Below are 12,101 nucleotides of genomic sequence, written 5' to 3' on the forward strand. Positions count from 1 at the left end.
TGGTCACTTGGAGGAGCGTGGGCTGGTAATCTTTGGTAGTTTTTACCTGTTTTTGTTTTTCTTTCTGAGGAAGGTGGAATTACAGATTTCTAGGATTTGAAGACTGTAAAAGAGCTTACTGTTCATCCAGTCAAACTCTATTTTCAGCTGAGGAAATGGGCCAAGAGAGATGAAGTGCCTGGCCCCAGGTCCCACAGCTGGTTCCATCTCAAGGGATAGGACCAGAGCTCAGGGAAGGGCCAGAACTGAGGTATTTTTGAGCAGTGGCTGGGGTTGGGTGGAGGTGGGAAGGCAGATAATCAGGAGAGTACCTCAGGGAAGCCAGGAGAGGTGAGAAGTCAGAGGACGGTTGAACGGAGGATGGAAATGCCTTACAGCGTACATATAGCCTCAAACCCATGACCCCATTCATCCTGTCAGCACACAGTCGCCGGGCACCAGACAGGAAGTCCTGGAAGATGGGACAGGCAGGAGGTAGAGACTCAGAAAGAAGTCAGTGCCCACCTCGCTTCCATTCATTCCGAAATCTTTTCTGAGAGGAGGGAGATTTCTGTGCTTTTGAGACCTCCCTGCTTCCCTGAGGAAAGCAAGTGAAGTGACAGCTGGCAGAGGTGAGATTAAGGGGACAATTAGGTCCTTTCAGCCAGGCGAGGCCATGAATTGATCGTAGGCTGAGTAACAGCTGTAATCTACCCTTAGTGGGTTTTTTTCTCAATGTCAATATCGAACACCCTTGTTACAGAGCTCCAACCCCCTGCCGTCCGTCAGCTGAAATGTGACCCTGCTCTTCCTTTTCTTCCAGTGTCCGAGCTGCAGGAGGAGGGAATGAACGCCATCAACCTGCCCCTCAGCCCAATTCCCTTTGAGCTGGACCCCGAGGACACGATGCTGGGTAACTGTGCTCTTGTCTCTGAATTCGCTTAAGCTTTCCCATGCCAGCACCCCCACTGAATTCCTTTTCTTTTTAAAGAGGAGAATGAGGTGCGAACAATGGTGGATCCAAACTCACGCAGTGACCCCAAGCTTCAAGAACTGATGAAGGTAAGAAGAAATCAGGAGCGGCTTCAGGTGCCTCACTGACCCACCATGTGTCCATATGCCACCTGCTCTGTGCAGGTACCCCACGAGCCCCTGAGAGAAGGTAAAAAGTCATGGCAGCCCCTGCCTCAGGCAGTGAGTTGTCTAGCAGATGGCCATCGAAAACGTAACCGATTGTTTAAGTGTGGGATGTGACAAATGCCCAGTGAGTGGTGCTGGTCACAGCACCAGACAGTTCAGTACAGGTAAGCTCACGATGGCCAGGATTCCAGAGTGCACAAAATGCTTATTTTCTCAAGGACCCTCAAAAGCAGGCAGTGGAGCAGTAATTAGTCTCATCCCCATTTTCCAGATGACAAAATCAAGTTTCAGAAAAGCCAGATGCTTTGTTTATGGTCATAAACAAGGAGCTGGAACTCAAGCAGAAATAAAGGAGATGAAGTGACATACTGTGCATTACGTACCTGCGCAGTGGCTGGCGTGCGCTTGTCCTTTCAAAACTGTTCATTTCTCCCCTGCGTCTTATTCCCTGTCCTATGTTCCTCCTCTTCAGCTTAACCAAGCTGCACTTAAGACAAAAGGCACTCATGAGTGTCATCCCAGCACTCTGCGGAGGCCAAGGCGGGCGGATCACTTGAGCTCAGGAGTTCGAGACCAGCCTGGGCAATGCGATGAAACATCATCTCTACTGAAAGTACAAAAAATTAGCTGGTGGGTGGATCACTTGAAGCCTGGGCAACAGGGTGAAACACCATCTCTACTAAAAATACAAAAAGTAGCCAAGTGTGGTGGCGCATGACTGTAATCCCAGACCATCTCTACTAAAAATACAAAAAGTAGCCAAGTGTGGTGGCGCATGACTGTAATCCCAGCTACTCGGGAGGCTGAGGTGGGAGGATGGCTTGAACTTGGGAGGCAGAGGTTGCAGTGAGCCATGACCACGCCACTGCACTCCAGCCTGACCCTGTCTCAAAAAAAAAAAAAAAATAGCACTGGATGTCAGAGTGATTCATTCCCCCATGCAAATCTGAATACACGGTTCCCCTGTGCAAGACCTCTCAGAGTTTCTCATCCACCACAGGTTGCAGTCGACTCCTAAGAGGTGGTGTTTAGACTCCTTGCTCTAGCTGCCTCTTCAACCTGAGATCAGCCACTACCCAGCAACACAAGGATGCCAGAACTGCTGCTCCCAGCAGCCGATGCGTGCTCCCAGCGCTCCCCACCGCCAAAGCCTGGCTAATGCAGTCCACTCTGAGTAGAATGCCTCTCATGCCCCTCATCTGAAAGTCTCAGCACGGCTGCTTGCTCCAGGAAGCTTGCTCTAAACTCTAGTGCCATGGCTCAACCACTCCACGGCTGCTATAACCCTATCCTTAGTTCTGTTGTCGTCTCCACGTAATATTATAGCTTCTCATGCACTTCTCTGTCTCCTTTACTAAATGGTGAGCTTCTTGGGGTTAGAGACTGTCTTTTTTTTCTATCATTGTACCCCAAGGACCTAGCACAGAATGTCACATATAGCAGGTATTTAATAAACATTAGAGGATGGAAGGAGGAAAGGAAGGGTGGGTGGATGAATGGGTAGGAATTTCAAAGTCAGCCAGGAGTATTCAGAAGTAAAATCAAACCCATGTGAGGGTTGGGCCATCTCACTAGGGACTGGAGGACTGAGGGCAGTCATCTCAGAGGAGATGTGTAAATGTCCCTTCTGTCTGCTGAAGGGAGTCTGTGCCCTGACCCCAGAGTTTAAGAGAAAGGAGGCAGCCTTGGCTAGGCCGCCATGCAGCCCCTTGCTCCCCTGGATCACAACCGGAGCCTCACAGGCAGCTGGGCTGTGCATGTTGGGTATCTGGCCTTTCCTGATGCAGTCTGTGCTGCATCCATAGATGACTGCCCCTGCCCAGTGAGACCCTGAGCCCTCACCTTTCTGTGCAGGAAGAAGATGGAACAGTTGAGGTGCAGGCTGTGCCTGCCGCTGCACACTCTCCGGGGTGCTGGGCCTGTGTGGGCAAGGGTAGGGGGAAAGGGGCTAGCCCTGGGCTTGCTCCTATCAGAGGGCGCTCACCATGCTAGAATGGGTATGCTACTACTTGCTCAGGAGACCTCTAAGGGTAAGGACGGTCAGAATGGGCTCCAAATGGTTTAGGCTTCAATGTTGATCTCCCAGACCTAGACCTGCACTCGGGCCCTGTTTGAGAGAGTGAAGGATTGGAGATGCACATAGGCCTGAGCCCTGGGGTGCTGACCAAAGGCACAGCTACCTCCGTACTTCCAGAGGGAGGTTCGATTTTCTAGATCTAGGCTGCTTTGACCACCTTGAAATCCTACTCTTTCTGGTCAACTCCTAGTTTAAGAGTCTTCTTAGGAGCTGGGCACAGTGGCATGTACCTGTAATGCCAGCTACTTTCAGATGAAGGTTTGAGGCCAGAAGTTCGAGGCTATAGTGCACTATGATTGCACCTGTGAATAGCCACTGCATTCCAGCCTGGGCAACATAGCAAGACCCTGCCTCAAAAGGAAAAAAAAAAAAGTCTCCTCAAACACAAGGCTTTCTGGAAGCCTCCCCTCATTCCTGATCTCTCCTGCCCACTCCCAGCCTGTTGGGGCCTCTTCTCTACTCTCTCATAGCACCATGTCCTCCCCACCCCAGGATTTGAACTCTTTATGTTATAATCCTTTGGTTGACCGGTTTTCTGCCCCCATAAGCCTCTCCAGGACAGAGGCTGGGTCTTACTCTACTGGATACAGTGCAGTGCCTGGTATACAGTAGGTATTACAGTTGCCATCCTCTTGCCTTGGGACAGCAGAACAAAAGCCTCCAGACTCCAACATCAGCCCACCCAGGGATGGCAACGCTGTCTGGCTATTGCTGTGTTATAAAGGCAGCATACTTATGCTAAGGCAAAGACGTCCAACACAAAGGACGATGTCCACTTATAAGAAATTGGAGAAATGTCAAAACTGTAGTGGTTCCCCCAGGCCTGTGGTCAGGGATGAGGATTGAGTACAAAGGGACCTACGGAAGCATCCTACTGGGGAGGGAACTGTTCTGTATCTCGATTGTGGTGGGGATTAAACTACTGTGCACAATGACCAAGACATATCACTGTATACTTAACTTTTTTTTTTTTTTTAGATAGAGTCTCACTCTGTTGCCCAGGCTGGAGTGCAGTGGCACGATCTCGGCTTACTGCAGCCTTGACCTCCCGGTTCAAGCAATTCTCCTACCTCAGCCACCCAAGTAGCTGGGATTACAGGCACCTATCACCACGCCTGACTAATCTTTGTAGTTTTAGTAGAGACGGGGTTTCACCATGTTGGCCAGGCTGGTCTCAAACTCCTGACCTCAAGTGATCTGCCCGCCTCGACCTCCCAAAGTGTTGGGATTACAGGTGTGAACCACCACGCCCAGCCTAAAATTTTTTTTATGGCCGTACACTGTGAGTGTTGCTTGCCATTAGAGTAAGGAATAATAGGGGACATAGATATTAACAGGGACATGGCACTAGCAGGATATACATCTGAAAATTAAGAAGGCCAGTAGGGCTCACACTTACAGCTACCTGTGCACACACTGGGTTATGTGGATAGTTCTCCTGCTTTTAAAATCTGAAGTTCAAAGCAGGGCACAATGGAACACTCCCATAGTCTCAGCTATGCAGGAGGTTGAGGCAGGAAGATCACTTGAGCCCAGGAGTTTAAGTCCAGCCTAGGCAACATAGTGAGACCCCATCTCAAATAAAATGAAACTTAAAATCTAAAGTTAATTTGGATTTTAATTGTTTAGGATAAGAAAGCTGGTCTGTAAGAAAATACCCCATAACTCTTTTCTTACTATTGCACATTCCCTTTCTCTCTCTCTGTAGGTATTAATTGACTGGATTAATGATGTGTTGGTTGGAGAAAGAATCATTGTGAAAGACCTAGCTGAAGATTTGTATGATGGACAAGTCCTGCAGAAGCTTTTCGGTAGGAGAGTTGAGTGCTGCAATGGATGTGTGTTTAATTGCAGGTGGTTGGATCACCTACTTGTAGCTAGAAGGAGTTATTCTCAGTTTACAGTGGCTTACCTGGAAATGGATTACAAATGTGTGGAGCATGGAATAACAGCTCAGTGAAGGCTTTAGATGTCCTCTTGGAATGTTTCATATGAATGAATTGTAGAGGGAGTCTCCATGACTAGGTGGGCCTGCTCCTTCTAGCAGCCAAGAATCATCAGCTAGATGAAAAGACCCCACTGTATATTAATAACTAGAAAGCACGCCTCCGCCTCTCCAGAAAAGCATGCCTGTGTGGCCTCTGTCGGTATATTTACATGCATGGGCCTGAGTATGCATTTTTAGACCTCTGTCACCTTCAGATGCATGTGTGTGTGTTCCTCTGTCATCTGTGGACTTGTGTGTGTGTGTATTCCTCCCTGGGTCACTTTGCAGCTGTTCATGTGAAAATGTAAGGACAATGGGGAGAGAAAGGAGAATTCAGGGGTAATCTTAGTGTTGAAAGGACAAATTTTAGCTTGAATGGAGTTAAGGTGTCCCCCACTGCTCCTAATCTAACTGTGGCCCAAACCGTCCCCTCAGATTCTCGACTTCAATCCTTAGCTGCCCTCTGGGCACCTCTACCTGAATCTGCTTTAGACTGAATTCATCCACTTTTCTAAAGCTGTTTCATCCCCTCTGAGTTCATAGAATCCTCTCCCTTCCTCCTCTGCCCCCATGTATACAGGGATCAGCAAGACCCATTTCTACCTCTCCTGAATACATCCTCTGCCATTTTGACTTCTCTGAACTATTGAAAAAACTTCCAAACTCACTTCTTTGCTTCCCATCTCACCTCCTCCAACCTATTCCCTACACAGCTAGCAGAGGAAACTTTTAAAATCACAAGTCCAGTCTTGCCTGTACTTATTTATAACTCTTAGTGCCTCTCTCCTGCTGGACAAAGTCCAAACCCCTTGGCACAACATTCAAAGCATTCCATCATCCGATGACCCCCAGCTGTCTCCTTGGTCTCACCCACACATGTGGCTCATCCGTGTAGTAATACGTGTAAAGTGCTTAGGATAGTGCCTGACACATAGTAGATGCTCGATAAATGTCTGTCATCATTGGTTTTACTATTTTTTTTACATACCATTGCTGCATTTTTATATATGCCACACATATTAACATGCCTGTACCTTTGATCATGCTAGTCCTTCTGCCTCTAAGGCCTGCCTTCCTCCTTTACCCACCAGGGGAGACCATTATTGCTCATCCTTCTGATCTCTAGAATTAATCAAATTAATCAAATGTGCCTCCCTATTATAGCCTTTACAGTACTGTCACTTTTTTTTTTTTCTTGAGACAGATTCTCGCTGTCACCCAGGCTGGAGTGCAGTGGCATGATCTTGGCTTATTGCAGTCTCGACCTCCAGGGTTCAAGTGACCCTCCTGCCTTAGCCTCCTGAGTAGCTGGGACTACAGGGCATGTACCATCATGCCCAGCTAATTTTTGTATTTTTTCTGGAGACGGGGTTTTGCCATGTTGCCCAGGCTGGTCTCAAACTCCTGGGCTCAAGCAACCCGCCTCAGCCTCCCAAAGTACTGTGATTACAGCAGTGAGCCACTGCGCCTGGCCCTATAGTCACATTTAGAAAAGATAGTCATATACTTTTTTTTGTGTTCCTCCCCACACACACACAAATGTTTCTCTCTCTGAGGGACTATATATACACTTGCACATATGTGCATATATGTATAGGTGTGTAGATATAAACGTGTACACACATATCTGTATACATACATGTAAGTATATATACATGCCTTATTATAAGACTTTCCATGTCATCTGTAGCTGTTTAGGTAAATGTGTATAGGCTTCCCAAGGGCACGAGCCATGTCCTATATATTTATCCAGGCTTCTCCAGCACCATCAGGTTGTCTAGCATATGTTGCCTAGCACTTAATCAATGTATATTGAGGCTGGGCGCGGTGGCTCATGCCTGTAATCCCAGCATTTTGGGAGGCCGAGGCAGGCAGATCACCTGAGGTCAAGAGTTTAAGAGCAGCCTGGTCAACATGGTGAAACCCTGTCTCTACTAAAAATACAAAAATTAGCCGGGCATGGTGGCGGGTGCCTATAATCCCAGCTACTCGGGACGCTGAGGCAGGAGAATCACTTGAACCTGGGAGGCAGAGGTTGCAGAGAGCGGAGATCACGCCGTTGCACTCTAGCATGGGGGACAGAGTAAGACTCCCTCTCAAAAAAAAAAAAAAAAAAGTGTATTGAATGAATGAATGGCTAATGTAATTTCTAGGAAGTTAAACTGATTTGGTTCTCAGACATCAGTATTAATGAGTGTTAATATTTAAAGGCTTGTAAACTCCAACTGAATACAGAGAGGAAATGAAAAAGCTTCGGCACATGAAGACATGGCTAAGCCGGGAGCCTCACCACGCATCTGTCCCAGTGACTACAGCTTTTAACTCCTCCAGCAGACATCTAGTCAGGATCTGAAACTGCCAAAATGTTCTATGCTAGGCTGTCAAAGCAAGGTAGAACATGGCCACAGAGTAATGGAACATGGTTGTGGAGGAATCTTGCCTCCAGGAATGGTTACAAAACCATCCAGCATCACATCTATGCAACCCCACGTTAGGCATTGCGTACAAGCAGATTAGATCATTTCACATTTCACCCTTCATGCTGAAAAGGTGATTCACTATGGAGGTGATGCTTCTTTTGTGAACTTAAGTTTAGACCCTAATCTCAAAGGTCTGAGGCAGGGCATACACATTCAAAGCCCATAATGGGTAGGATACTCAGGTGGAGGGAACCAGTTTGCGGTAAAAAAAAAAAAAAAAAAAAAATGCATCAGGAGCTCCTGGGAGGGATCAGTCTGGAAGCAGAGATTTTGGGGAATGTTTTGGTTTGTTTTCTTTTTTTAACGACCCTGTGAGTATAAAGGAGGCAGAGTTTTGAGTGAGCACTCTGACCTTACGTTCCCCTCTGGCTATTTTTCGTGTCACTGGTCATGTTAACCTCAATCACATTGTCAGGGTGGTATCTGCCAGATTTCTTCATTATAAAGTGACTGTTTTTCTCTTTTTAATTAATTTTTTTTAAGTGGGGAGAGATACTTTGAGACCACGTAAATATCCTGTTTCTCCTTAAACTTCTCCCTCTAGTTTTTGCATCCATTTAGAATGCATCTGCCGCAATTCTTATGGTAGTGTTCTAGCAGAGATGGTCTCTTCTCTGTATTCCTTCTGCATTTATTAACTGGAATTCTAAAAGGAAGAGTTGTCATTTCTATTTATTTATATCACTATGGACATATTTATTTTATACTTTGGGTTTAATCCAGTACTACTTTATCGTTCACTTTTTTGCTCATTGGCCTCCAGCTTCGGCCATTGGGAGCTCTTTCAGGTTGCCTCCTGGACACGTTCAACAAGCTGCCCATATTTTTTTTTTTTCTGAGCATTTCCTTTGTTTCTCACATCATAAGATACTCCAAGACCATCTTATATTTTTCTTACTCCAGTCCTGAAATCAATCACTTCTCCAACGAGCCCTGATTTATTTTATTAGAGAATGGAATTTAGATATCAAGATGTGGGTATATTAGTGGATGTTTTTAACTTGTTGTCTGCAGCATAAATAACCAAACATCTGTACCTAGGTACAGTGCCCTTACGTGGTGGTATTAACTAGGCATGACTGTTCCCAGAAATCCAGCTTCTAATCGTACTGGGGGTTGAGCTTCCTTAATACTGAGTTGTTTGGGCAGCGAGCTGGAGGGGTCTGAGTTTGAGATTAGTAAAGTAACTATGAAACACTAGCACTTAGAAGATGATGGAAATGGCATAGGGGCCTCTCGTAGCCCAGGAGCATACACATCTGACATCAAGAAAAGGATACAGGGCCAGGCGTGGTGGCTCACACCTGTAATCCCAGCACTTTGGGAGACTCAGGCAGGTGGATCATCTGAGGTCAGGAGTTCGAGACCAGCCTGACCAACATGGTGAAACTCCATCTCTTCTAAATACAAAAAATTAGCCGGGCATGGTGGTGCATGCTACTTGCGAGGCTAAGACAGGAGAATCACTTGAACCCAGGAGGCAGAGGTTGCAGCAAGCCGAGATCGTGCCATTGCACTCCAGCCTGGGCAGCAAGAACGAAACCCTGTCTCAAAAAAAAAAAAAAAAGAAAAAGAAAAAAAAAGGACATGGAATCCAGGAAGCCATGTTGATTACATTGTGGAGCAAAGACCCAGAACCTAGAGGCAGAAGTGTGTGAGAAGGTGTGGCAGTGTATTAGTCTGTTCTCACACTGCTCATAAAGATATACCCAAGGCTGGGTAATTTAAAAAGGAAAGCTGGCCGGGTGTGGTGGCTCACGCCTGTAATCCCAACACTTTGGGAGGCCGAGGCAGGTGGATCATGAGGTCAGGAGTTCGAGACCAGCCTGACCAACATGGTGAAACCCCCATCTCTACTAAAAATACAAAAATTAGCCAGGCGTGGTGGTGGGCACCTGCAATCCCAGCTACTTGGGAGGCTGAGGCAGGAGAATCGCTTGAACCCAGGAGGCAGAGGTTGCAGTGAGCCAAGATCATACCATTGCACTCCAGCCTGGGTGACAGAGCAAGTCTCCATCTCAAAAAAAAAAAAAAGGAAAGAGGTTTAATTGACTCACGGTTCCACATGGCTGGTGAGGCCTTGCAATCATGGCTGAAGGCGAATGAAGAACAAAGTCATGTCTTACATGGCGGCAGGCAGAAAAGCTTGTGCAGGGGAACTCCCATTTATAAAACCATCAGATATCGTGAGACTTATTCACTACCCCATGATTCAGTTATGTCCACCTGGCCCCACCCTTGACACATGGGGATTATTACAATTCAAGGTGAGATTTGGGCAAGGACACAGCCAAACCATATTAGGCAGGGACTTCTTGGCAGAGAGTTGTATATGTTTCGTTGCTGTGGTGAAAGCCTGAACAGGTGAGCGTCCTTGAGATGCCATGTGACTTTGGCTGGCAAGGACTGGCTGGGTGTTCTCCAATTGTGAGCTCAATGGGGAGCAATAGCATGCCTGGCTCACCTCTGTGTGGCCACATGCCCCTTGCTCACAGCAGTGTCTGCCTTCCTTGCAGGAAAATCACCCTTCTCACAGGCCCCAGGCATTTCTGGTAGATTCTATCAGAACAGCCTCTCCCTAGTCCTTTCTTAGCTGCCCAACCCAGCTGCCCCATTGCTGCCTGTATTCCCTGGGTCTTCCCACTTGCCCTGGCAGCAGATCTTAGTTTAGGTTTTCCCAAAAGCAGACGCCAAGACAAGGATGTGGGTGGAGGAAGCTTATATAGAAGGTGACCTTAAAACGTACAAATAACTGAGTAGGGCACGTAAGAGGGGAAGAGAGAAATGCCAAACACGAGTATGTTAATCAGAACAGCAGCTCTGTTTCAACCAGGGCTCATAGCTGGGCCCTCTGAGAAACCACGTAACAACACATCTCAGAATCACCCTTCCCAGTGCAAGGTAGCAAGGGCATTTATCCTATGGCTCCTTTCCCCCTGTGGTTGAGGGTGACCTGTGCAGGAAATAAAAACTTCCAGGCTGTGCTCCTGTGGTGACAGAGGAGAGAGCCTTGGGGCCAGAGATGGCCATCAGTGTGCTAGGAGCTGTCTGTAGCTGCAGATGAATGCAGGTGGGCCAAGGAGCTGGGGGAAGGGGCATCGCTGTCATCCAGAGAGACCACAGAGACAGCAACCCCGCTGTGGGGACACTGGCCACTTCTCTGCGCTGTTGATGTTGCTGCCAATAAAATATTAGCTGCCAGCAACGCTGGCCTGCCTCTTCATGACATACACTTCATCCTCTCATGGGAGCAGCCCTAGCCCTTTCCAAACCTCAGAGCAGAGGTTTCCGAACCCCAGAATGAGGAGGAAGTTCCTTCCTACCCCAGCCAAAAAGTCACCTCATTTCTTGTCCAGGATTACCCCCTTCCAGGGTGATTGATGGAAGAAAGAGCCTTAGGTCTCCCAGAATATACTCTTACTCCATGGCATCAATAAGAAGTCACAGAATCATCCAAAGTTGGGACACATTTCCAAATACCTCAGTTATACAGGTATGTCCATGGTCACCTGGTTATATTTACATTCACAACACCTAGGCAGTAGGCATGACTGAGTGAGAGATGGGATAAGCGATTCCAGGAAGATGCCTATACAACATAATTCATCACTTCATTTGAACATGGCCCACTGCCTGCTTCTTATTGAGGTTTCCTGGCTTGGGATGTCTATGTGAATTTCCTTGTGGTATGTTTCATTTGACTGATCCTTATGTTTGAACATGTACATGTGCTGGGAACAGAAAAGGCCTATTTTCAGAGATGAGAGTCATAAGCTTCCAGGGCTCTTCTTTCTGGTTTTCACAGTAACATGTGACTGAAACAGGATATCATTCTTCAGGCTTGAGACCAAAAGTTTCCCTGTGGCAGTAAAGTTCTGCAGGAGGGTGGTTTTGTTTTGGTGTGTGTGTGTGTGTGTGTGTGTGTGTGTGTGTGTGTGTGTGTGGTTTTCTTTTTCCCTGATAGACCCTAAAGAGTGCATTTTACACTGATCTTAATCAGTCAGATAATAATATCCACTAGGCAAAAACCATTTGGTGTGCTATATGCTAACTGCTGAGTTCAGGAATATAAAAGTAAATGTGTCATATGCTGTCTTGTGGAAACTCACAGCCTGGTAGTATACAGGTCTGTAAGAGATCAAGTAGGAGTTTGGGAAAGGTTTCAGGAAAGAGGGGGTATTTTGGTGTTTGATTTTTGTTGACTTTTTTTTTTTTTTTTTTTTTTGAGATAGGGCCTCACTCTATTGCCTAGGCTGGAGTGCAGTGGCACAATCATAGCTCACTGCAGCCTTGACCTCCCTGGGCTCAGGAGATCTTCCCATCTCAGCCTCCCAGGTAGCTGGGATCACAGGTGTGTGCCACCACACCCAACTAATTTTTGTGTGTTTTGTAGAGATGGAATTTCACCATGTTGCCCAAGCTGGTCTTAAACTACTGG

The 12,101-nt window shown here is 46.9% G+C and overlaps 1 protein-coding gene across 2 annotated transcripts in view; it reads left to right on the plus strand.

Annotated features, from left to right (window-relative positions):
• PARVA (parvin alpha) overlaps window positions 1–12,101 on the plus strand; it is a 158,921-nt gene that overhangs the window by 96,507 nt on the left and 50,313 nt on the right. For both annotated transcript variants that reach the window (XM_005253015.4, NM_018222.5), the window contains exons 2-4: window positions 803–892; window positions 971–1,041; window positions 4,905–5,007. In XM_005253015.4, coding sequence (XP_005253072.1) covers window positions 803–892; window positions 971–1,041; window positions 4,905–5,007 — 264 coding nt within the window. The remainder of the gene's footprint in view (window positions 1–802; window positions 893–970; window positions 1,042–4,904; window positions 5,008–12,101) is intronic.

Source organism: Homo sapiens, chromosome 11, assembly GCF_000001405.40.
Source record: "Homo sapiens chromosome 11, GRCh38.p14 Primary Assembly".
Lineage (NCBI taxonomy): Eukaryota > Metazoa > Chordata > Mammalia > Primates > Hominidae > Homo > Homo sapiens.